The sequence below is a fragment of the Homo sapiens genome, chromosome 10 (genome assembly GCF_000001405.40).
Source record: "Homo sapiens chromosome 10, GRCh38.p14 Primary Assembly".
Classification (NCBI taxonomy): domain Eukaryota; kingdom Metazoa; phylum Chordata; class Mammalia; order Primates; family Hominidae; genus Homo; species Homo sapiens.
In genome coordinates, this window is record NC_000010.11 from 69,893,083 (window position 1) to 69,918,259 (window position 25,177).

Genomic DNA, 25,177 nt, shown 5'->3' on the forward strand with positions numbered 1-25,177 from the left:
GCTCACACCTGTAATCCCAGAACTCTGGGAGGCCAGCACGGGCAGATTGCTTGAGTCTGGGAGTTTGAGAGCAGCCTGGGCAACATGGCAAAACCCTGTCTCTACAAAAAAATGCAAGAGTTAGCCAAGCACGGTAGTGTGTGCCTGTAGACCTAGCTATTTGTGAGGCAGAGGTGGGAGGACTGCCTGAACCCAGGAGGCAGAGGCTGCAGTGAGCGGAGATCACACCACTGTACTCCATTCTGGACAACAGAGCGAGACCCTGTCTCAATAAAACAATAAAAGACCAATAAACACTTGGCCAGCCACATGGGCTGGGAGTGCCACATGGATGGTCCCAAAGGCCACTTCTCCCTTCCAGTGATGCTCTTGGGAGTTTCCCAGTTTGGAGGTGGCCCTGTTGGCAAGCGGGGAGCAGGAACAAGGCTCTGGCACATCACAGCATGCTGCGGCCACCTCCCAGATGGACCCACCCTTGGGGATCTGCAGTGCTTCAGGCCCCAAAGAGACTGGTGGCTCAAAGGGACCTGCTTATGGCTCTAGCCAAGTCTAGAAGCCCTGACTCCCAAGGTCTGGCCCAGTTCTGAGCATTTGGCAGTGGAAACAGCTGGACCTTGGCCGTCAGACAAACCTGGGCTCCTGTCCCAGTGCCACCTTTCACTGAGCCATGGGGCCTTGTCTCTGTCACCTCACTCGGGAGCTGGAGTGGACACAAGCATCTCCCTCACAGACACATACCTGAAGAGCCAGCCTCAGGGTGGATCCTCAGCCCATAAGGCATTTGTTTTCTCCTCTTCCCTCCACCAGCCTTGGTGCAGCCTCCTAAGAGAGCCAGAGCATGCGGGGCCCTCCCCAGACAGCAAGGGTCCCTCCCAACCCCAGCTCCTTTCCTAGCCCTGCATGGACAAGACAACCTTGAAGGAAACTTCAAGACCCCTCATATTCCTTGGAGAAGTCCAGAACATGGCTTCAGTTGCCAACTTCCTGCTTTCTCTCTTTTGCTGAAGGTTTCTCTAAGGCCCCCATTGTCTGAGGCACCGGCCCAGCACCCCCAGGCCAGAAGTTCTTCTGGTTCAGTGGGCTTCACTGCAGCCTGGGAGGCAGGAGGTGGAATGTGCTAGTGTCTCCCAGAGGCTTGATGCATGTGAGGTAGGGGGTCCCATGGAGCAGAAAACTCCCTGACCTCTAGGTAGAGCCCCTCCATAGCTGGCCCATGAGATGCTGGTGGTTGGAGGAATGGATGAAAGATGCCATCTGTTCTTCATCACAGCCCTAGTCCTGCCCACTGGGGGGTGAAGCAGCTGAGACTCTGTGAATAAGACATCTTGAATGTGGTGGGCATGGGAAGACCTGGCCATGGCTGGTAGAGCCCAGCCTTCGGGATTCAGCCCCAATCCCCACCCAGGCAGGTGTCCCTGATTGCCTGTCTTCTGTCTGCCCACTGACCTGTGTGTGTTTGCTTCCCACAGGGTCTGACGGGTCCCCCAGGACAGCCGGTTGGTACCTCATCCATCTATTTCCCAGCAGAGAAGCTTCCGGTGGCTGTGACCTTAGCTTTGGTTTCTAACTCTCTCATCTCCGTCTCTTTGTAGGGACCCCAGGGACAAAAAGGAGAAAAGGTAAGAGCAGTGGAGGTTTCCTAGAGTCTCCATCTCAGGAAATGGCCTCCCAGTTGGTAGAAAGGGGTCAATTATGGTTATTTTCAAACTTCAGTTTTAATTGACAGAACCAGGAAAGCCCCCGAGGTGCCGCATAATAGATTCGGTTGACACCGCTCCAGGGGACATCCTTTTCTTGGAGTGAGGGGTCCTCCTGGAGGCTGGTCCGGGTGACATCCTTTCCAGGGGTCCTCCTGGAGCCTGGCCCTCTTCAGCCTCTTTCTGGGCCCCTCCCAGCTGTCACTCCATGGTGTTCCCTGACACCTCCATGAGCCTCTGGGATTCTGAGAGGCATCAACCTGTAAACCACTGGCCTGGCCTCCTGCCCTCTCTGTCTTGTTGAATTTCTGATAGAGACACTGCTGTGCTTGCCCTTGGGCCGCTGGTACAGGGGCCTGGCGCTCCCAGCTCAGAGAAGGTGGCTTGGGACCCCCATGGTGCCGGCTGCTCCCATCCGGTGGCTCCTGTTCAGGGCTGTCTGGTGGGCCTGCCTAGAGGGTCAACCTTTCGCCAGGCATGGGGCATAACTCCCGACTCTGCCATTATGGCAAGTGGTATAAGGCGAAGCCCCACCCCTAGGCTCCCTGGGGCCACTTCCAGGCAGGCCATGGAAGTTTCTTCCCTGCTGCTAGCCAGGGGCAAGGGAGGGACTTAGTTCTTCTGCCTCAGAGGGCTCAGACCAAAACTAGAGCAGGAGGGCTGGTGAGCGGTGACATGTGTGGCATGTCCTGAAGTGCTGGGGGTGCCCTGAGAAACAGGTACCCCCAACAAGTGCCTAACACCACCTTTCCCTTCCCTCTCCTTCCCAGGGTCAGTGTGGAGAGTACCCACACCGGGTAAGTGAACCCCTAAAATTTAGCAGGGCACTTTGATCCATCCCTGGGGCACAGCGCCCAGCTCAGCCTCATCTCCCTGGGGTCTCCAGTTACTAACAGATCATGGGGGAGCAGGAGCACCCACTGCCCTCTGCACTCAGCAGTCAGAGAGGGGAGCTTGGGATGGTGGTGCGTCTGGTGGGAACAGCTGATGTGTCTCTCCAGCCATGTGCTATATGGAGCCGCTCATCACCCGTGCGTGTCTGTACATCCGCCCCTTTGTACGTACGTCTGACTCGGTATGTTGGAGTCTCCTGCTGTGTGTCTGGAGCTCTGTGGCTGCTCTGCACATGGCCCCCTGTGGCAGCGTGACTTGTGTGAGTCTGTTTGACTCCCCACCCAACAAGCATGTGTGTGCGTGTGTGTGGCGGTAGGGGGGTGGTGTCTGGCAGCCTAGCCGTGGCCAAAACAGTGGGACTTTTCTATTAGTCACTGTATCAGATGATGGTGTTTCACATCCAAACCTCGATGATGGGAGATAATCGGGGACTGACTGCAGCAATTCAAGGATAAAATCTCTCCTTGGCCTCTTTAAAAGCAGAGGAAACCCTTCTCCAAGCAGGGTGGGGATTTCAGGCTGAGATGGTTCCTCTGCCCACCCCCGCCTGCTCCTTCCTTTTCCTTGCTCCACCCCAAGACACAGAACCCAAAAGACTGCTGTTGTCCTGTTAGGAATCTTCAAACTTGTGTCCCAGCAGCAGGGTCGATCTTGGGACAGGGGAGAGCAAGATACGCACAGCTTCCTCCAGTAGGAGCCCCAGTGAGCTGGACCCAGAAAAAAATGCCCCTCATTTTGTGGATTGGCCTCGTTGCTCCCAGACCTGGACAGCAGGGATGGAAGATGAGCATCTTTAGGCATCTCTCCCCGCTGTCATGTGCCCCATGGTGCTCAGCTTCCCTGGCTGCCCACCCCTGCCAGGCAGGTCCGGGTGGTGCGATTTTGGGAGTGGAGACAGACATAAGCCAGGCTCAGTGCCAGCTTGACTCTAGAAGGCTGTCAGGAGGGCAATGCTAGCAGGGCCTAGCCTCTGCCCAGACCCTCAGGAAGCTGGAAGGCAGGCCTGAGGTCTGGGTTCCTGGGCCAGGGAACCACTGTGAGCCTGGTACGTGAGAGGCTGGGATGGGTTTAAGGCTACGGCGGTGCTGGGCCCGGGCTGAGGAAGGCAGGCCAGCAGCAGCACAGTCAGAGCCACAGCCTGTCAGCGGCATGTGCTCCAGGGATGCAGGGGCCCTGCTGTTCCGGCCAGCCTGATCCTGATACAATAATAGAAGGTCAGCTGTGTTTATTTGAAACGATGGGCTCACGGGGTTATTATGTTACCCGAAAGAAAGACAACATCCCCCAGCACAAAAGACAACACAACTGCAGACGCTTTGGTAGTGTGTCTCCCGTTCTTAGTAAGTGCTTGGGGTGGGGTGGGGGCAGGGCTCTCTGCCCCTCAGCCCAACATAAGGAAAGGGAAGAGCACAGTGACAGAAGGCTGCAGAATACCCCTGGCCACAGGGTGCAGTGAAGCCTGACCTCATGACAGTGGCACTCTGGGGAACATGTCAAGCGTGGGGTGGGGGCATAGATTTGGGATTCCAGCTGAGGGGCAGACCAAGTTTATTTAGAAGAGGGTAGAAAATCAGGGGCCTTCTAGAGATCTGTTGGCTTTCCAAGGGGTTGGGTTGGGGTGGCAGGTCTCGGGGCCTGGAAGACACCAAGAAATCCAGGTGGCCCCTCCTCCATTCCAGCCTGTGGCTTCCCCAGGGAGGGAGAGGAGAGGGGTGGGGAGCAGGGGAGCTGGTGTCTGTGGGCTCTCCCCTCACGGTCCCTGTCGCCCTGTCTCTGCCACCTCCATCCCCTCCCAAACTAGGAGTGCCTAAGCAGCATGCCAGCAGCTCTGCGCTCCAGCCAAATAATTGCCCTGAAGGTTTGTAGGTTCTGGAAGGTCTCCGGGCCCCTCTCCACTGAGAGGCTTCCTGAACATACAGCCCAACATTGCACATCCCCAGGCCCCGGCAGTGGGAGCGGGTGGAGCTCTGTGTGCCACTGCTGTCCAAGAAGGCAGCAGCTGTGACCTGGAAAGGCCACACTTGGGCTCCCCATCCCCAGCTGGGCGCATTCGCAGCCCAAGCAGCTCCTGGTTCTTAACACTCATCCCAGGAGTCTCGTGTGATTTAAGCGCTTTCAAAAACAAGCAGCTGATGACAGTATATGCCATCTTTGTTTTCACATGGGCTCTGATGGCCTCCTAAAGCCACGGGTTGCTCAGCTTCAATGGGTAGAGGGACTGGAAGCTGCAACAATTTCCAGAAATGAAAATCACATTAGATAATATGACTGCAAGTTGCCTCCCGCAAAAACGTGGTTGAGCTTTCTGGAGATATCTTTGCCCAGCCTCTATCTTCCAGGCCCCGCAGCCCCAGGGTGAGCCCTCAGCAGCACTTAACATGTGCCCACGCTGGCCTCACCCTCAGCCAGCTCAAACCCCGGGGAACTGGGCTTGGCACTGCCCTTGACCACCCTCCCCAGATGCGCTGACACCAGCCTTTCTTGCTCAACCAAAAAAAGAACCCACCAGCCGCACACCAGCCCAACTTCAAGTACCAATTTCACGGGCCCGGTGGTTCCCTGGCCAGAGCCTCTGAGTTGGCTCCCTTCTGTCCCCCAAGCAGGGATGGGTGGGGCTGGCAGTGCAACGTTGGGCTGTGTGTCCAGCAGCCTCTGCAGCCCAGCATGGCCACGGAGGGCAAGCCTGGCCATGTGGGAGCCACTGTCCCATTCCGGGGGCTGCTGGTCAACATCCCAAACTCTGACCTGGAGGCCGAGGCCGGGTGTGGACTGAGGGCCACAACTCCTCCTAAGGGACGGCTGTGCCATCCAAGGGCAAGCTCCGCTCTGCATCCTCAAGCCGTGAGAGTGCCCTGTCCACTCCTTCCCTCCCACTCCTCATGTGCACGCTAATCTCTCTTCTCTCTTCCTCTGCTCCGGTCCCTCTTGGTTGCCCTGCCCTCCTGGTGACTTTTGGCATCGATCTGAATACCTGTGATCTTTGGCCTTTGCCCTCTGGCCCTCCAACTCATCTTTCTCCTCAGCTGCTGCCTCTCCTCAATTCAGTGCGACTGGCTCCACCCCCGGTCATAAAAAGGCGGACGTTCCAGGTAGACACCTCCCGTTTGTCCAGACCATGTGTGGTTTCCCAAGGGGCCCGGCAAGCCTGCTGGGGCTGCAGACAAAGCCAGAACCTCTCTCTAATTCAGTGAAATTAAATCAGACAAAAATAGGCCCACGTATACCATAGACATGGAAATACACAACACACAGGCCCCAGAAGACCCACAACTACCACCACACAATGATTACTCAAAACAGCCATCAACAAGAGCTGTCAGTGTGTGCCAGGCACCCTGTTACCCATTTCACAGGCCTGGTTATATTTCATTCACCAACAGTTTTATGAATTAGGCATGATCATCCTTATTTCACGATGAGGAAATCGAGGCTCAGAGAGGTTAACCAAGTTGCCAAGGTCACACAGCCAGTACATTGCAGAGTGGGGATTTGTACCCAGTCTCTCTGCCTGTTACTAGCTGTGTCATTTGGGGCAAGTTACTTGACCTGTGTCCCAGCCTTCTCATCTATAAAATAAGGATAATAACAGTGTCTATTTCACAGGGTTGTTGTTGATATGTAAAGCATTTGGAATAGTTCCTGGCACAGTTTAAGAGACATAATTGTTAGCTGTTTTTATTACTATTATCCATATTTTGGAGATAAGGTAACTGAGGCTCAGAGAAGTGAATTGATTTGCCCAAGGTTATACTAACAGTAAGAGGCAGAATTGAAACTGGCCTTGAAGCAGAATTGAAATTGAAGTCAGGTCTTCAGACCTCACATCCAGGGCTCTCTCAGCTGGACCTACCTCCTCTCTACTTAGAAATGCAGACTGCTTAGCATCTGATCCCTCGTAACCTGAGTTTGGGGAGCAAGGGAATTTGTGGAGGGAATGTAGTCCACAACCCACATTGTGAGCAAGTGCTTCCTTCTTCTTCCTGCCTTCCTAACCCAAGGAGGCTTGGATAGGAGCAGATCACAAAGAACAAAGCCATCTGGCCTCTGCTCTTCAGAGATCACAGCTTGATTCCAGGCTGGCTGGCCCATGGCTGCCCCTGTGCTCCTCACCTTTCTCATGCTGCACCAGGTACCCCGCCCAGCACAGGGACGCTAGCAGTGGCAGGGCTCTGAGCTGCTTTCTACAAGCCTGACCGCAGAGCCTCAAGCAACAATCTGGCCTGACTCAGGAGTCAGGAGCCCAAGGGCCTAGATGTTCAGGCACCTGATTGAACAAGGCTGAAAAATCCCTCCAATTAACAGCTAAAAATACAGAGGGACACGTGACTCCAGTGCCACCCAAGCCTGCAGGCCACATATCTCATTACGCCTGGCCAAATCCTCGAGAGCCTCCGTGTGCCCGAGCACTCACCAGAGCATGGCTACTCAGGAGGCCCACTGGCAGCTTAGAGAAGTACCAGGCCCACCCCTGTCACCCACCCCAGGCTGTGCCGGACCCCATTCCAGGAGAGCTGAGTCCACACTCTCAGAATAGCCATTCTCCTGGGCCCCAACAGCGACCTCCCAGCCTTAGGTGTATCAGCTGTTCTTTTTTGAGCCCTCACTGGGTTCCAGACATTGTTGTGAGAATTCTATGCAAATTATCTCATGCATTCCCCACACCAGCCATCTCACTATCCCCCGCTTTACAAAGGAAGAACTCAAGAGGGGTGCAGGATTCCATCCAGGCCACTGCATGTTACTGCCTCCCTTTTCAAGAGCAAGAGGTGGTGAAGCCAGAACTTTCTGTGCTACCCTGACCTGGTTTCCAAAGTAGAGAAAGAAGACGAGGCACCTCTGAGCTACCTGCTGCAGATTCTGCCTCCAGAATCAGGTTTTTTATGCTGTCAGCCACTATGGGACATAAAAATGCTTGTCCATTTCTTATCAATAAACCAATATTGATTTTACAGGCTCTACAAGCCGCTTAAACATTGGGTCTAAGATTCACTGAAAAAGGAAGCTTTATATGAAATATGATGTGCTTAGCAGATGGTGTTGGACGTCATTTCCAAAGAGCAGAAAGTGTAGATGGTGAGCCCTTTTTGCTGGGGGCTTACTTGGAAAGAATAGGGAGAGTCTGCAGTTCCAACTTTGGGTCCTGGCGCCACCCTGAATTCCCATGTGACTTTGATCAGAGAATTCAACTTCTTGGAGCCTCAGTTTTCTCTTCTGTAACATAGGACTTGTGACGTTATGAAGATTCTAGAATTTCACAGCCAGAAAGGAGCTCGGGAGTTTACTTCAGACTAAGCCTCCCCCATCTTGTGAATGTAGAAACCCACAAAAAATATAAACACACAAAGTACAGGATTCTGAGGAGGTTCCGGGACCCAAGCAGCTGAATCAGATTTGATGTGGTTGAAAAGGAGGCTGCACTGGTCCCTTTTTAAGGCCTGAGGCTTAGTGAAGCCTTTCTTGGTTCAGAAGAAACACTGACACCTGAGACTTATCAACAACCAACATGCAGCCGGGTGGGGGACCTGCAGTCAGGGCAGCTGCCACAGTGATTTCAACACCTGCTCCTCTGCCATGGACACCCTGAGCCCTAAAGTGGCTTCTCAGAGGGTGTGGCAGGATAGGACCCAGGCTCCAGAGTGACACTGCTAGATGCCATCTGCCTACAGGTTTTCCAGCCAAAAGATGGTGCAAGCAGGTCTTGCTGAAAGCTTACATTTCTCATTCCCAGGTTGTGCACTCCTATTTATCACCACCACTTCCCTCTAGAGTTTGCAGCAAGCATCATCAGCTGCCTTCCTCGCATGGGGAAGCAGGAGACCCCTCAGGTGTGTCATAGGGGCTTGCTGAGATCCTCTGAGAAAGGTGGGCCGGCCTGGAACTCCAGCCGCCTGCATCCCCCAGCCTCCACCCTAGAGCTCCCACACCTGCCAGGAGGTTCTGCTTCAGCCCATCTGCAGGGATGGGCCCCTCCTCACAAGAGCTAAGCCCAGATTGATCCCAGAGAGGTCATTTAGAAAATAACAAACCAAGGAGCCAGACTTGGTTTAGATCTAAGATGACTTTGTGTTGCCCCAGCCCTGAAATCTGGGTCACGTGCACCAGGCCATCTCCTCCTCCAGGGGGAGCATGATGCCATCGCTACCTCCCTGGGCTCACAGTCCATCCCGTGGACAGGCATGGTGGGAAGGCGGGCTCAGAGCAGCTGGCTGAGGAGACAAGGGAATAATAACAGCCTCCCCACGCAGCATAAAGCACTTCCACACAGCTTCCAAACTCTTTCAATGAAACCAAAGATTGCAGGCTCAATTGCCCTCCCAGGCCAGGCAGATCACCTTAAGTAACAGAAGCAGGCTGTGTGTGAGAAGGGCTAGGAGGGAGAGGACAAAAGCAGCCAGAGAACTCAGGCCCCACTTAACAGGCAGCCACTCCTTGGACGTAGGAATGTGGGCCCAGCTCAGCCAGGGTTCCCAGTGTTTCATCAGAAGCCACCAATTCAAATTTTATATGTAAAGTCTCTTGCTCAGTTGTTTAGTGAGCCAAATAAAATTCCATGGGCTTTGACCTAAGGATCCCATTTGATCCTCTGGGTCAGATAAAGACAGCAAAAAGCTGAGACAGGAAACGAGGGCTATTGTTCCCATTCTATGGCTGAGAGACTGGGGCTTAGGGAGAACTGTGCCTCGCCACACAGGGAGGGTGACAGAGGCAGGCCCAGGCTGAAGATTCAGGCCATCTGGCCAGGCTGGGAGCAGGCCTTTGGTTGGGCCAGGGGCTGTCTCCCACCCACTCCTCTGCCTCTGCCCCCCCGCAGAATGTCTCTCCGCAGCAACTCCTCTTTGGAAGCCCCACCTTCAGGGACCTAACATCTTGGCGTTCTTCTCACTGCCACCAGCCCCTGCATGTCATCACCACTACCACAGCATCATCACCATCATGCCACCGCTTCCTCCCCCCATCACCACTCCTTCCCGGCAGAAATCACAGCAGGCCTTCACTGGGTGCATGGCCTGAGGGTGGGGGACGGTCTGCAGCTCTGGGGGCCTTCCCTCTAACATTCGTTTCCATGAACCTCAGGGCGAACAGAGCCAGGCCAGCATCCAAGGTCCACCAGGGCCCCCAGGCCCCCCTGGACCAAGTGGACCTCTGGGGCACCCAGGACTGCCAGGGCCTATGGGGCCACCTGTAAGTATTCCCTTCCTCTCTCCTTCAAGACTTATCCCAAGAACTCTCTGGAAACCTCCAAACCTTGAATAGGCAGTGGGTCCCCTACAAAAAGCAGAAATGCCTTGGCAGGGCCATTGGATGTGGGTGAACCATGCAAGGGGCTATTCATCCCCATCACACTCACCACCTGTTGCACTCTGGCTCTGAAACACAACCTGGGCCATGTTCCCTGCCTTCCAGGGAGGAGACCGCCAATGGCCTGCCTGCCCCGTTCCCAGCCCCAGCAGAGAGGAATTTGGAAAGAGAATTCCCAAGGGCACCTCTGATGGCTATCCCTGAGCCCCTTAGCAAAACCTGAGTCAGGCAGTGGGTTCTGAAGGAGGTAGTGAGGGGTCATCCAACTACCTGGCACCCCAGTGAACATGCCTTCCAGGGGCGTGTGCAGGTTTCACACTGCTGGGCCACCTGCCAGCTGAGCTGAAGGTCCAGTCAGCCAAGAGCCCTGCGCCAAGCCTGAGGATGCATCAAGCCTGCGGGGCCTGCAGGGTCACTGCCTGGAGGACTCCAGAGAGGCCAACTGGCACCTCTCCAGGCTGGACCACATTCAAGTGACAGGTCAAGCCCAGCGGCCGCCAAGTCACCCATGTTCAAGCCCTGGCTAAGACTCCACTCTTTCCCAGCCCAATTTATACAACAAAGCCCCAGGACAGAATAACTCAGTGGGTACCTGGACTTCAGAGAAAACGGGTCTTCCACCCACCCGTAAGACTAATGTTATTGGAGAGGCAGGTAAAGGGCAAAATGCTTTTTAAATAATGTTTTTCCCATGTGGTAGAAAAACCAAAACAAAACCTGTTTTTCCTTCTTATGACAAAAGCACCATAAATTAATTGTGAAAAGAATGGAACATAGACAAAGAAACATAATGTTTGTGCGCATCTCTGATAGTTTTGCTGGAATAGAGTCCCAGAGGTGGAATCACTGGGCAAGGATGTCCCCAACAATTAGCACCCTGTGTGTACGGCCACATTCTAGATGGCCTGTTTGCATGTCTGGGCCCCTTGGCTGCCCAGCTTTCAATCTCAAAGCTTGTTATAGGGTCTTCCTGGGCCGGGCCACAGCTATGGCCGAACACAGCATCCACCTTGGCTGGGAAGGCCAGCACAATGACCCCTGCAATGCTTGACCCCTGAAATGAATTTTAAATTTTTCCACAATTTCGCCCCAGCACCCCAGAGAGGGGGGTTAGTCTTATTTCCACCAGTTTTTAGATGGGAAAACCTGAAAGGAAGGGAAACTCAGGAAACGGAACCAAACTAAGGCAAGAAAACCAAAAAGTGCTCCAAATTCACTTTTTGCTGACCGCTGCCCTTTCTACCCCACCCCCCTCCTAACACTTGGGGCTCTCATCCACTGAACCCAAGCCAGGTGGTTTTCTTTGTTAGGTTGTTTATAACAACAACGACAACCAAAAAAAGAAAACCAGAGAGCATGTTTCTTAACCCAATTGCAATAGACCAGACTCAGGCATCACGGCTTTCTCCAGCCCACGTTTGCTGTCCACACCTACACCCAAGGCTGCGGTGGAGCCAGCAGCCTTCCCTGGCCTCTCCCTCGGCTCACACCACCTCACTGTGGCCAGCTGCCATGCCCACAGCACCATGGGCAGAAGGAGACAGAGGGCTCCTCCACTGGCAGGCAGGACCAAGGGCAAAACCGAGGCTTTGCTGGGCAAGGCCGGCTTTCTAGGGAGGGGTTCCAATTAGGAGGTGGGTGAATGAGGATCTGGACCAAACCACACTGTCAATTTAGCATGATGCTGCTGACCTACTTTCCATGGGTGAGCACAGCAGAATTGCCCGCGGCCCCCACATGGCTGCAAAGAGGGACATAAGCCTGTTATCCCCACGTGCCCTCAGCAGGTTTCAGATCCCCTTCTAGGATCCACTAGAGCTGTTGGCTATAGCATGCCTATTCTCTTGCCATAGCTATTGGGAGCTGCTCTGCCCCTAGGGTCTACTGTAAGTATGGCTAGCCCCAACCAGCTCTACTCACCTTTTCTTTTTTCTTTTTTTTTTTTTTTTTGCTTCCACAGGGCTTACCTGGGCCTCCTGGACCAAAGGTGAGTGTCCTTCTGGGTGATGTGTTGAACAGGTGGGAGAATTCCCTGCAGGAGGGAGGGGGAGGCAGCACAGAAGGTGACTGAGGCAGGAGCAGAGAGGGATCTCAGCTGAGAGACAGATCAAGCTTGACCCACTTACAAAACACCACCCTTCTCAGGAACTAACTTGATTCCAACAAGAATTGCACTTCTTGGGTGCTCACGCCAATGAAGCTAGTGCTACGGGCTGGCATTGAAGGCACAGTCCACCCTCTAAGGAGTATAGCGTCTAGCTGGAAACTCTAAGCTCATGCCCAGAACACCGTCACAATATCCCAATAAAATAGTGTTTTATAAGGTGTCAGAATGGGAAGAGACCTCTAGGGTAATCCAGTCTCCTGTGAACCCTCACCCAGAAGCCCACAATGTCAAACAGGCTCTCCCTTTGAAGCTGGGGACCCTGGGGCTCTGGGGACAAGAAGATGCCCAGTGCTGATTGTGCCTAACTATCTTATAAATGCAGAAGCTAAGAGCCCTGTGGGAAAGTGACTTGTCCATGTTCAATAGAATCAGGTCTCCTGGGTCTCCTGGGTCTCTACCCAAGTGACTCTTCCCACCATTCCTCAGCCTCTGCAAAGTGGAGCCTGTTCTCAAGAGTAGAACAATCTGTGTTGTCCTCAGAGGAAGCTAAGAGCTATTGCTCCTGGGAAGGCTGGAGATGGGTGTTGAAGGGGCAGTGGAACTTGGAGTCATCGAGAGGAAGAGGGATGGTATTGTGTGGGGAACAGCACAAGTCAAAGTTTGGCAGTGGGAAAACCTCTTTAATGGCCTTCTCTTTGTTTTCCCAGGGAGACCCAGGGATCCAGGGCTACCACGGCCGGAAGGTAAGATGGAGGGGGAGGACCCAAGTGGGGCAGGACTTTGGACAAATCAGTGGCCTACTGGACCTCAGACCCAAGAGGGTCTCTCCCTTCCAACCTAGGTGGCTGTGCCTGTAGTGAGGCAGGCCAGGTTCTCACTGGCCCCCCGAGGGCCTGATAAGTGGGAGCCAAATTACTGGGATCCACCTAGGCAGAGTTCTTTCTGTGCTGAGCCAGGATGTAGGACATGGAGGGGTCCAGCTCTTACAGGCCAGAGAGTCAGAAGCACTCCTGCACAAATAACCCCAGTGAAGGCAGACTTTATTAAGTGCTACTGTCACAAGGCACTGCACGATTACAGGAGGTGGAGAGACAAATTTCAGGTTGAGAGAAGTTTGGGAAATATTCTGGGAGAAGACAGCCTGAGAACTCAACCTTGATGAATGGGCAGATGTATCAGTTATCTATTGCGGTGTAACAAACCATTCCAAGTTTACTGACTCTCTGTCACAATTCTGTGGATTGACAGTCTGGGAATTCTGCTAATCTCACCTGGGCTCACTCATGCAGTCACACCACATGACAGATAGAAGGGTGGGAGGGGACAAGATGGCCCCATTCACATGTCTGGTGGTCAATGCTGGCTGTGGGCTGGGGGGCCCTGTTCTCCACATGGCCTCTTATCCTCCAGGAAGCTAGACAGACTTCCTTACAGCACAGCAGGTCCAGGGCAGCATTCAAAATGGGCAGGTCCCAGTGCATAAAGACTTGTCACGTATCTGCTTGTATCACATTTTCTAATGTCTTATTGGTTGAAGCAAGTCACATGACCAAGTCATGTGAGTCAGTGTGGGAAGAGTCTTAGGCTCTACTTCTTCACTGGAGGAGTAGAAAGCATTTGTGGCCTTTTTGTTTGTTTGTTTGTTTTTTGTTTTTGTTTTTGTTTTTTTTGAGACAGAGTCTAACTCTGTCACCAGGCTGGAGTGCAATGGCGTGATCTCGGCTCACTGCAACCCCCGCCTCCCAGGTTCAAGTGATTCTCCTGCCTCAGCCTCCTGAGTAGCTGGGACTACAGGTGCACACCACCATGCCCAGCCAGTTTTTGTGTTTTTAGTAGAGATGGGGTTTCACCATGTTGGCCAGGATGGTCTCGGTCTCTTGACCTCATGATCTGCCCACCTCAGCCTCCCAAAGTGCTGGGATTACAGGCGTGAGCCACCGCGCCCAGTTATGGCCATTTTTAATCTACCACTGTGGGCCTTCCACTAGAAAATCTGAATGGAAACAATATTTTAGATAGGTAAACAATTTGAGCAAAGACCCAGAAGCAGTCATTATAATAACTGTAATAGCAATAATAATTTTATGGTAGTCACTACTTACTGAACACATACTATGGTCTAGGCACTATCTTTCAACAGAAACTGCATTATTTTTAGCCCTAAAACCACTCTGTGAGGCTGGTATGACTATTCTCCTATTTAAAAAATGAGAAAACTGTGTGTCTTAGTCCATTTCATGTTGCTATAACAGAATACCACAGACTGGGTCATTTATAAAGACAAGAAATTTATTTCTTACCATTTTGAAGGCTGGGAAGCCGACAGTCAAGGGGCCCATATCTGGTGAGGACCTTCTTGTGTCATCCCATGGTGGACAGTGGAAGGGCAGGAGAGGGCGAGAGAACACGAGCAAGAGAAGGCTGGGCTTGCTGTTATAACAAACCCACTGTCGCAATCACACACCCACTCCCACAATAACTAACCCACTTCCATGATAACTAACCCACTCCCACAATAACTAACCCACTTCCATGATAACTAACCCACTCCCACAATAACTAACCCACTCTCATGATGACTAACCCACCCCCACAATAACTAACCCACTCTCACAATAACTAAACCACTCCCATGATAACTAACCCACTCCTGCAATCACAAACCCACACCCATGATAACTAACCCACTCCCACAATAACTAACCCACTCTTACAATAACTAATTCACTCCCACAATAACTAACCCGTGATAACTATCCCACTCCCGCGACAGCAACATTAATTTATTCATGAGGGCAGAGCTATCATAATCTAATCACCTCTTAAAGGTCCCACCTCTCAACACTGTTGCATTGGGGATTAAGTTTCCAACACAAGAGCTATGGGGGACACATTCAAACCATAGCACTGGAGCTCTCCAAAGTCTCCTGGCTCATAAGTGGCAGAGCAGGAGTTCAGTTCCAGGTCTGGGTCCTTCCCATGGTACCACCTGCTGTAAGGAGTGCAACCCTGCCCTCCAGACCCTGGCTGGGAAGCTGCTAGAGCCTTCCAGGAGGAGAAAAGAGGCAGGAAGGAAAGGCAGCAGCAGGAGAGGGGCAGAAATGTTGGGAAGGGAAGAAGCACTCCCTCCAAAGCACATTCCTCGCACACTGCAGTCATGAGGTTGCCATAACCACATGGCTTTATGGGTGCCTGGTGAATGAAATGGCAAGACCTGAGAGATCTTTAATTAGTTCTACATAAACTAAGACATTTGTATTGTATCAGGAAGTGGAAATCAGCCCCCGCAGTTGCCTCTATCCACTCACACAGACTCATAAAATTTACTGCCTCCTGGTGCAACGCGGGATCAGTTTTTCATTAGCAGCAGGGCCAGCTCTTTCAAGCTGTGAAGGAGTTGCAGGGCAGCAGAGGGTCTCCAGGCATCACGGCGATGCCCTTGGCTGGCATCATACCATGACAGGTGTCTGCATTCTGCTGCAAACTGGAAGAGTGATTCATCCAGAAGGGGCATGGGGTCTGCTGTCCTGAGTACGGAGAATCCTCTGCTTGGGGTTAGGGTGTCCTGACGCTAGAGGGCCTGGTCCCAGGACAGTGGCAATCCTAGACTCAGATTGTAGGAAGAAACATGTAACCCAGGCTACATTGAATTTGCAGAGAAGACCAGTGTAGCCCTCCTGATGGGGGAGCACTTCCGGTCCCCAGGAAGCGGGAGATTTGCTCAGAGCCTCCCTGCTCTAGTGTGGAAGAAGGATCATACTTTCTTTTGCATGACTAGAAGTAGAGCAAGTGCCAATGAATAAACTCTACAAGAAGAGTAATTCCAGCTCCAGAAGAGGGAGCTTCCTAATCGCCAGATGCCTTGGGAGGGAGGGAGGGAGTTCTGGTCACCAGAGGTGTTCAATTAGAGGCTGGATAATGACTGGTCTGGGATGTGTTTAGAGAAGTCTCTGTATCAGCTGGGACACTGAAAATCCCTTCCAGCTCAGGGAAGTCATAGCTTCATGGGGACAGAGTTGGCTCCATAGCCTTAAGAGAGGAGCAGCTCTGAGCCTTGATCCCTGGCCTTGAGAGGAGGCTCTGTCTCTTTGAACCTTCGTCCATGTCTTTTCTCCATCCACATCCAGGGCTTGTCAGAAGCATCCCCACTCCTAGGTCTCATGAGGCACTGAGGAGAAGACCCTTCCCCTTCATGCTGGACTCTTGCCTCCCAACCCTTCTGTCTCTGCCAGACCACCCTCTCTGCTCTTCTCCGGTAGCCTCTTCTCATGGAATCTGGAGGGGCTGTGAGGCCATCATGCCCCATCACCGCCTCTCTGGGTCACTGGAAGGTTCCCATTGCTTCCACTGCTCCCAACCTGTCACTGAGTCTTTTCAGTAGGTGCCACTGGAGCCACTAGCCTTGCAAAGCCAACAGCCCATGGCTGGTCTGGGCACCCTTTCCTCTGTTCTGGCCTTTACTCTGCTGGGACCCTTATCTTGCCACTAACTCTCCACTGCCTCCAAGTCCACCAAAGGTCAGAGGGCTGGCACTGGGAACTATGACCAGCAGCAGGCAGCCTGCCACGAAGGACTTGAGGTCATTCCTTGGGAGGCTATAAATGCCTATCCCACTGCCCCAGCCTCACTGGGACAGCAGATATCTTGACCCCCAGTGATCACCATGATCAGGCAGAAGTTTATTTCCCCTCTGAATCTTGAGATGAAGTGATTTTTCATCTTTGGGCAGTGCAGCAATATTTCACATCTCTAGTTTAGAAAGTTCATTTATTCCACCTTATTCAGTTCTTACCATGGCTCAGTGGTTAGAACTCATCCTGATTGTCTAAATGAGAGAGACTTTGCCCAAGGTTGCACAGCTAGTAAACAGCCATGCTGGAATTTGAAACCAGGCCTCATCAAGCCCTGTGGCCAGTCTGTCTTTGCACCCTGGTGCAGAAGTTGAATATCTGCTCAGGGGACTCACCCCAGGCTAAGCTAACTGCACAGACCAACCCTCCCAACCTCCACCTACTAATGGTTTCTTTGGGATGTGGAGGGCTGTCCCCCTACCTCCCTTCTATTGCCCATCAGTCCTCTCTTTTATTCTCTCCTCCATGCTCTGCTCTCTGCTTGGAGTAAGGCCTACGGAGGAGGCACTAACACGAAGGGTGGCTTGGTCTCAGGGGCTGGGAAGATGAGTTTGGCCTCCCCTACCACCCTGGGGAGGAGCAGTGCCAGCAGCTGGGGATGCCAAGCTGAGACAGGGGCCATGTGACTGCCTCTTGAGGTCAGGATGTGAGCGGGACCTGTGGGGTAACTGATGGGCCCCCCACATGAGCTTCCTTGCTTCACCCCAGAGATCTGACCCACTTGGAGGGACACCTTTCTGACACCACAGGCTCTCAGTCTATGAAGTTTGCTAATGTCCACCACCACCCCCAGCAGCTGGACTGGGCCTGGTATCCTCTTAAAAGCCAGCCAGACCCGCAAGGCAGGCTTCTCCATCAGTTCCTTGAGATCAAAGCCCAGTGTGGCCAGCAGCCCCTGTGCTGCCCCCATGCCCCAGTCAGGGCCAGCCCTCCTGCCTAGACACTGCGAGTATTGTTGTGCACCCATGTGGTATCTATTTGATCCAAATTTATGACACTGATCTACTTTAAATATGTTGCAAGATGCAAAGCGTGTTTAAAACATTACAACCTTGGCTCTCTTTCAAGGGGGTTGACGAGTATTGTCAGATTGTGTGTGGATCACAAAACCTGGTGAGAGCTTATCTTTTAAGTACGCAGAACTGGTCTGTCTGTCTCACTTTGGGGGCGCATTTGATGCCTGTGGTGGCCTGGATGTTAAGCCTCATGGTTTGCATGAAGGACCATGGCTGAAACACACATTCCCCTCTTTCAGGCTGTGGGTTTCAGACCAGAGGAGGAAATGAGAGCTTCAGGCTAGAGCTGTTTGCAACTGCAGCTACCCCTCCTGGAGGCCAGTGGGGCTCCCCAGAAACAGGAATGCCCTGGGGAGGAGAGTGGATGGGCCCTATGATGAGATGGCTAGAGGGCTGGGGAAGGGCACAGGGACAGAAGCCCACCCACCCAGCCATCTCAGCCTTCATTCTGTGGCTGTGCTGGCCCTTCCCCTTGCCCCTTCTCAATGCTTCAGCCAAAGGGCATGAGGATTCTGATCTGCCAGCCAGAGCAAGGGCCCGTGTGGTGGACACACTTCTGTAGAATGATAACTCGTGCAATTGTAACTACCTTACTGGCTTCTTCAACAAGCCAGGCTGTGTACTAGGCACTTTGCATGCATCAACTTATTGAATCCTTGTAACAACCCTGTGAGGTAGGTTTTACTCAATTCCCAACTTATGGATGAGCATACTGAGGTTCACAGAGGCCATTTTCCCCGAGGTCCACAGCTAGGAAATAGAGAAGCCAGGTCTGTGTGATCCCAAAGCCTTGCTCTGAATGGCTTTACTATCTGCCTCTTAGCAGCCCTGGGGGACCCCATGATGATTTCCAGTAGACCTTCCCCCATACCCCTCCATGAATGGAAGGAAAGGAGGTGGCAGCTGAGCTGTTTTCGTTCTTGTAAGAGAAGGCTGGATTCAGGCCTTTCTCTGAGTCTCCAGGCTCCCTGGGAGCATGTCTGCAGAGTCTGCAGCAGAGAACAGGGAGTACTTGGTGTGTTGCTCTTGCCAAAGAATTAAGGAAGTGGAGTGCTTTGCCCATTGGCACTGACTCCATCCAAATAAGTCCCTCAGGGAGTTGGGATGGTTTCAGGACTCCCAATAAAGCCTGGAGGAGGCAGCTTGCCCCAACCTTCCACGACAGCTATTCCTGAAACCTTCCTGCACCCCTCCGGCTCCTGTAGGACCTGAGTAGCCCATGCGGTTCCCACTCCCACTGAGTGCTCCGTGCAGATGGAAGCCCTAGATGCAGGAGCCTGCTAGTGCGGGGACAGCATTTTCTTTGAAAGCTGTGAAATCCTAGTGGGGACCATTCGCATTAAAGATAAGAAAACTAAGATCTGGGCCTCTGATCTGAGACCTTGTGGAGACTAAAGCGACCCCAGCCCCCACCCTGAGCACTCTGGGCTTTGTTTTTCATGCACTCCAAAGTCCAAGATTAATTAGAGCTGACTTTTCTTTTTGGAACTAACTACAAAATCAACCGATCTCAAATTGAGATTATAAGCCAGCTGCCCTTCCAAAGCCCTGGCCTTCAATGGGGCACCCGACCCCGGTAATTCCCCGGATCACTTCCTGCCGGCCCTAATTACAGGAGGAACTAGGATTTCCGCGGTTCCGGTCCTCTCTGGTGTGGAAGATGGCTGTAGCAGGGAAGCAGGAACTGAGCTGCCTTTTTCCCGGAAGGAAGACCTGGGAACTCTTTATAGGGAGAAAACCGTTAGCCCTCCACACCTGGCTTTTCTGGCCTAGGGAAAAGACCCTGGTCCAGGCTTGAGGCTTGAGCTGTCCACCGACCGCCCCCCACCCCCACCCCTCCCCGCAAACTCCCCACACTCTCAGGCGGGCCTTCCTCCTCCCTTACAGAGAACAAAGAGCCTGTGCCACCAGATGCATTTGCTCAGGGCCTTCCAACCCAGACCTGGCTGCAGCAGAAACCAGGCCTAATCTTAGAGAACTTCATTTACTTCCCCGTGCTTCCCTGGCCTGACCTTGGCTGGGAGCTGACCGTAAAGCCCCCTTCCTTCCTCTAGACTGTGCTTTCTTGCCAAGTCCCTGCCCAGCTTGTTCAACAAACAGTAAATCGCCAATTAAGAGGCCACTCCCACAGGAGCAGAGCTTGGCTGGTTTATGCTCCAAGGAGCTCACTTCCATTCTATCATCTCTGTAAAGGATGCATCCTCCCACCTGGAATCTTGGACCAGAACAGAGGACCTATCAATGCTGTGTGGTGCTCAGGTGCAGTGCCCAGCTGGGGAGTCTGAGTGGCAGCCTCAAAATCAGGGATGGGACAGGCCTTCAAGGTCATTCAAAGCAAACGCCTCTCTACCCACTTGTGCTCCCCTAGAGCCTTCTCAGCCACAATGACTACAATCCATCCCTTCCTGCATTGGTTCTTGGCACTGAGGTTAAAAAGCCAGCCTTGCAGAGGGGTGGCTGGATGTTGGCCCAGGAGTCACAGCTTCTGCCATCACACCATGCACGTGGCCAAGACCTTTTGTAAGGCTCAGAGCACCCACTTCCCCAGCCCAAGTAAGGCGGCTGAGAGCCCCCAGGGGAACTTCTGAGTCCCTTCTGGGGAGACAAGAGGGGGCAGAGATAGAGGAGGTGAATTGAGGCCTGTGGGCTTTGCTGGACTGAGTGAGCCAGGCCCTCCAAAAACCAAGACAGTGATGAGTGAGTGGATGGAAACTGAGCACAATTACTAATACACTTTTTAAATAGGAAAACCTAGGAGGGGAATTAGAAAAGAAGGAGCCCTTAGACAGGCTCACACAAAGACATGCCCCAAGGAACAGTCCTCTGAACAGAGGTGGGCCACTGTCCTCCTCGGGCAATAACCACGCCCTCCCCCTCCCCCGCCTCCTGCCTCCTGCACATGGGCCCCAGCCACAGCGACGACGCTGGAGTCCTTGATAATGACTCTCACCTCCCCATCATCCAGGAACCAATGTTTTTGGCTTTAGGAGAAGCCATTCCCCAGTTCAGAGGTCAGGCAGGGGCAGGTCCCTGGAGACAAGCCCCAGGGAGTGAGCCTAATGAGAGTGGAGTGAGCGGCAGAGCGAGGTCAGCTGGGGGAGGCCAGTGGGGGCGCCCCTGCTTCCTGCCAAGCAAGGGGGTGGGAGGGAGGGAGGCCCTGCCATGGGGATCAAGGAAGCCCGGGTCACTTGCGAAATTAAGAGAATTGACCCAGAGAGGAGGGAAGGGGCGAAGGTCAGCCACCCTAACAAGGAGGGCTGCCTCCCGAGGAGGCTCCTGGGGCTCTGATTTCCCCTGAGTACCTGATTGTGTCTTTACACACTCACATCAACAGGGGCTGAGGACAACCCCAATTAGCCTGGAGACTCTCACGCTCCGGGGTTTTGCTCTGCACAGTTTCTTCCAGGATTGGAGACAGAAGCCCAGAGACAAGCTTGAAGCAGACACCACCTCCTCCCTGCAGGAGCACCCCTCTGGGCAGGAGGAAGGGAGAGCAGGGACCCACTGAGACCCCTCCTAGAGCTGCATTTTTAACCAAAGCTAAGAGTCCCTCCCCACCCCACAGAGCCTTTTTCTGGAGCTGCCAACCAAGCCAAATGGCACCTCCCCAGCTTTGGCCTCTCTCCTTCCAAAGGGCTGTGCAGGGGAGCAGAGAAAGGGCTGGGGTGGGTGGGAAGAGACAGGAGCACCAGTGGATGGGAGGTATCTGATCTAACCGCACTTTGCAACCAAGAACCCTGGACCAGTGGGAGAAAGTGGCTTATCTGTGGTCACCTGCACTGCCAGCCCAGCTCCTCGAAATGGAGGTGGGAAGAAGAGGGCAGAGGCATTGAGGGAAAGCAAGAGAAAAGACAGAGAAAGTAGAAGAGAGGGATGACGGGGGCCTCTGAATAGTCAAGGACTCCCAAGCTGACCTCCCACCTGCACCCACACCAGAGGACTGTGGGGGCCTCTGTACTGAGTCAAACTGGTCTGGTCATTCAGAATGCTAGCAGGGGACCCTCCAAAGGAAAGAATGACAGGAGCCCTCAGCTGGTACTACTGAGAGGGCTTGGAGACCGCTGTGGCGGGAGTAGCCAGACTTCAGATGAGGTACTGTCACGCCCTCTGCTGGCCACAGAGCGGCTGTGCACACAGGCAGTGAGCTTTTCTGGGCATCCTGCGCTGAGCGGCCCCCACACTCTGACCCCTGCACCCCTATGATGGGCCACAGACCTAAGGACCCCCACCAAGCAAAGAGGGGCTCTGCTCCGCTTTCAGCCTGCAAAGGCTGTTTGGTGGAAGCAGACGGAACATCAGTCCATCTGATACTTGGGTTGGCCAAGAGAAATAAGTACCTTGGCATAACAGACAACAGACTATCCAAAGCCCTAGGCTGCATGACCTTGGCAATCATACCTGTCCTCTGTGAGCCGCAGTTAGCTTACTTGTGAAGCAAGAATAACGTCCACTCCCACATTGGAAGGGATTGTTGGAGATGGAAGAGAGGAAGGTTGTAAAGCTTTTCAGTCCAGTGCAGACACATGGCAGCTGCAGTAAGTGGCTGTGCCCTTCTCTCTCAGTCCCACAAGAAGGAAGTTAGTGTCTAGAGCAAGCCTTGGGCTCTAGATTTTCAGCCATGGTAACTTCCTGAATTTAGCTCTGCCATCCCACCTATGGTTCAGGGGTCACTGGTGGGGTCATGCTGAGAGAGGGCTCTGGCATTGGGAACTAAAGATTCTAGGCCTTCTGTAGAATTTAGAGACTTGGCCCAAAGAGGATAAAAGTGAAGCCATCTCAGGCAGACATAAATTTGTGTGTGCCGATTACAAACGCTAAGTGGTCCCTGTCGCATTGAGGATGCAGCGCTGAGTTATAGGGGATAGCAAAAAGCTTCATAGAAGAGATAAAAGGGCCCCACTCCCATCAAACAGCCTCTGCAGGCTGAAAACAGGGCAGAGCCCCTCTCTACTCAGAGGCCCTCAGGTCTGTGGTCCATAGGGGTGCAGGAGTCAGTGTGCGAGGGCAGCTCAGCCCAGGGCACCAGACAAGAACTGGGTGCTCTATCAACCAAGACTCCAAATGATGAATAGGGTTTTAAGTTGAAATGGAAGAAAGACAGACCGTGGAAATGGGTAGTGTTTTCAGGGACACAGAAACTAGCAGGACACAGAAACTAGTGATATCATGACATGATATCAGGTGATGAGGCTAGGAAGGAAGCAGGGGTCAGAACGTCATGCTCAGGAACCTGGTCCTTTTCCTACTGTCAACAGCAGGCCAAGGATGTTTTAAGGCAGGGGTCTCGCTATCCAGCCTGTGTGTTAAGAAGCTTAACTGGACACTTGCATGGAAGACCCATCACGGAGGAAGAGGGTGGAAGTCCTCTAGCCTTGGTAAGGAGAAGGATGGACGAGGACCTCCTGTAAGATGGCAGGAAAGGGAGAGTGTGGACAGCTGAGAAGGAAGCCAGAGAACACCAGATCCCCTCTGCCTTTAAGCCTATGGGAACTGCAGCCTGGCCTGGCAGCCACAGCAGTCACACCCAATGGGGCAGCTGGGCCGGGAGCAGGATTGTCACACTCTGTGTTGCCCATCCACAGCGCTGGCCTTCAGATGGAGGAAGTGGCAGCAGGCTGGCTGCAGTCACCTGTTGCTGGACACCATCCCGGGCCCCAGCTGGGGCTTCGTGCTCAGGCACTGCATAGGATTCAACTCCCAGAGCCAGGAGCTGCCCTCCCCACTCCCCTGATGTAGCCGATGATAGTCCTGACTCACCTGCTCTTGGCCTCCCACTTGTCCCTGGCTGTCATCTCCAACTCCACCTCCTTGTGGTGTGTCCTTCTTCCTGATCTCACCTTACTGTCATAGACTTGGCATTTTTCTGGAGAAGTAAAGATGTTGAACATAAAGATAGGGCAGTGCCACGATGGTAGAGCGACCCCATGCTGTCCCAGAGGAGCAACAATGGACAGGTGACCCTACCTGTGCCTCTGGACAAGTAGGGTCAGAAATGGGGTGCAGATAAATGGGCAGGGACACATGCCCTTGGGGAGAGTTAGACCCAGAGGACTTGGAAGGGAAAGGAACCCCAGATGAAAAGAGAAGAGAGCTCCTGTCTGGCTCAGCCAGAAGGTATCATCCTAGCAAAGCTGCTGGAGTGAAAATGAGGCAAGAAGTCCCAGGCAGGGACCAGAGGGAAGGTGTGCAGTAGGTAAGCAGCCAATGGGTGGCTCCTGCCCCTGGTCCCGTCCCACAGCCCAAGTTCCAGGTACAGCTCAACCACAGGGTGGTAGGTAGATCTTGGGCCAGTCACTTCTCTTGCTGAACTTGCATTCCACTAGGTAAGCCTCTCTGTCTGGGGGCCTTTCCTGCTCTGTGACCTGTAATTGGGGCCCTCCTGCAAGTTCACATAGCTGAGGACAGGGGCCCACACAGCTGCCACCAGGGCAGGGTCCTCAGAGCTCAACATGAACCGGACAGCCATCCCAGCCTCCAGACAAGACATTCTCACCGACATCCTTGCAGGCTGACAGGCCCCGAGTCTGGTCCTCTCCTCATGCTTTCTCATTTCTTCCTCCAGGGAGAACGGGGCATGCCAGGGATGCCAGGCAAGCATGGAGCCAAGGTACCTCCCCCTTCCCCACATCCCAGGCAGCCCCAAGGCCCCTCCCCCAGTGCCCATCCCTCTCTCCTCAGCTCTGGGGACACTCTGGAGTCCCAGCTCTTTGGGCCTCCTTCTGCCTGCCCTGGTTCTCCCAGCTGCAGCATTGTGGTCTCTCATCAGTGCCCCCTGATGCGGGCGGCCTCCTCCTGGGCATCCCTGGGTCATAAAAAGCCATCTCAGGTACCACTAGCTCCACTGCAGTCCTAAGACCCAAGTGGAGAGTAGGGGCCCCCAAAAATCACCTCCACTTGAGATTTGCTAAGGGGCACTTTGGGCATCATCTATCTCTCAAAGTGAAATGATATCAGGTGATGTGAAAACAGGGTTTTCATATCAGCTTTCACAAAGCTGATATGAAAACAGGGTTCACTCCAGCCACTCCCCAGTCCATGAGGGCAGAGGTGCACAGAGCTGACTGTGAGGGTAATGCCAACCAAACACTGGGGGCGACTGTCCCTGGTGAAATCAGCCCCTTTACTTTGTCATCTATTCTGCACCCCTCTCCCGTGGCTTTCCATTCTCCTGCCGTCTCCCTTCCCATCTCCTCCTCCTCCTCCTCCTTTCATATTCCAACGAAGCTCCCCCTTCCACCCCAGGGACCCCCTCCCAGCCCCATCTAGTGCCCCACAGTCCCCACTGTGCCTCCCAGGAGAGGCCAGGAGCCATGCAGGTGGTTGGGAAGCCCAGGGAGCCCCGCAGACTGAGCTACACAAAGCCCCTTCCTCAGGGTCCATTCTCGTGGCGTCAGCTCAGCGCCCCCACCTCCCAGGTGGGGTTGGTGGTTGCGGGGTTGGGAGGAGTGAGCGGTCCTCCTTCTCATCACACCATGGGGAGGCTGTCCACTGCCCCCCGCCCCCTGCTGCCCCCTCGCTGCAGAATGTCTTCAG

General features: G+C 53.5%; 1 protein-coding gene across 43 annotated transcripts in view, besides 5 other annotated features; it reads left to right on the plus strand.

The window, feature by feature from the left end:
- COL13A1 (collagen type XIII alpha 1 chain) overlaps positions 1-25,177 on the plus strand; it is a 157,239-nt gene that overhangs the window by 91,177 nt on the left and 40,885 nt on the right. For 36 of the 43 annotated variants that reach the window (NM_001368882.1, XM_011539294.4, XM_047424601.1 and 33 more), the window contains 8 exons: positions 1,470-1,496; positions 1,593-1,619; positions 2,468-2,494; positions 5,615-5,680; positions 9,666-9,773; positions 11,851-11,877; positions 12,705-12,740; positions 24,207-24,251. In NM_001368882.1, coding sequence (NP_001355811.1) covers positions 1,470-1,496; positions 1,593-1,619; positions 2,468-2,494; positions 5,615-5,680; positions 9,666-9,773; positions 11,851-11,877; positions 12,705-12,740; positions 24,207-24,251 — 363 coding nt within the window. Of the gene's footprint in view, positions 1-1,469; positions 1,497-1,592; positions 1,620-2,467; positions 2,495-4,392; positions 4,450-5,614; positions 5,681-9,665; positions 9,774-11,850; positions 11,878-12,704; positions 12,741-24,206; positions 24,252-25,177 lie in introns of all 43 variants that reach the window. The other 7 variants (XM_047424600.1, NM_080801.4, XM_017015684.3 and 4 more) reach the window with 3 other exon arrangements.
- Positions 9,825-10,424: an enhancer, noted in NCBI's record as "H3K4me1 hESC enhancer chr10:71662663-71663262 (GRCh37/hg19 assembly coordinates)". NCBI's record gives its function as "activates a minimal SCP1, AML or CMV promoter by ChIP-STARR-seq in naive H9 embryonic stem cells {active_cell/tissue: H9 hESC(naive)}" and the evidence as "EXISTENCE:reporter gene assay evidence [ECO:0000049][PMID:30033119]".
- Positions 11,417-11,917: an enhancer, noted in NCBI's record as "H3K4me1 hESC enhancer chr10:71664255-71664755 (GRCh37/hg19 assembly coordinates)". NCBI's record gives its function as "activates a minimal SCP1, AML or CMV promoter by ChIP-STARR-seq in primed H9 embryonic stem cells {active_cell/tissue: H9 hESC(primed)}" and the evidence as "EXISTENCE:reporter gene assay evidence [ECO:0000049][PMID:30033119]".
- Positions 21,628-21,677: an enhancer, noted in NCBI's record as "active region_3494". NCBI's record gives its function as "activates an Ori minimal core promoter by ATAC-STARR-seq in GM12878 lymphoblastoid cells {active_cell/tissue: GM12878}" and the evidence as "EXISTENCE:reporter gene assay evidence [ECO:0000049][PMID:35858748]".
- Positions 21,738-21,827: a silencer, noted in NCBI's record as "silent region_2437". NCBI's record gives its function as "represses an Ori minimal core promoter by ATAC-STARR-seq in GM12878 lymphoblastoid cells {active_cell/tissue: GM12878}" and the evidence as "EXISTENCE:reporter gene assay evidence [ECO:0000049][PMID:35858748]".
- Positions 23,477-24,156: an enhancer, noted in NCBI's record as "H3K4me1 hESC enhancer chr10:71676315-71676994 (GRCh37/hg19 assembly coordinates)". NCBI's record gives its function as "activates a minimal SCP1, AML or CMV promoter by ChIP-STARR-seq in primed H9 embryonic stem cells {active_cell/tissue: H9 hESC(primed)}" and the evidence as "EXISTENCE:reporter gene assay evidence [ECO:0000049][PMID:30033119]".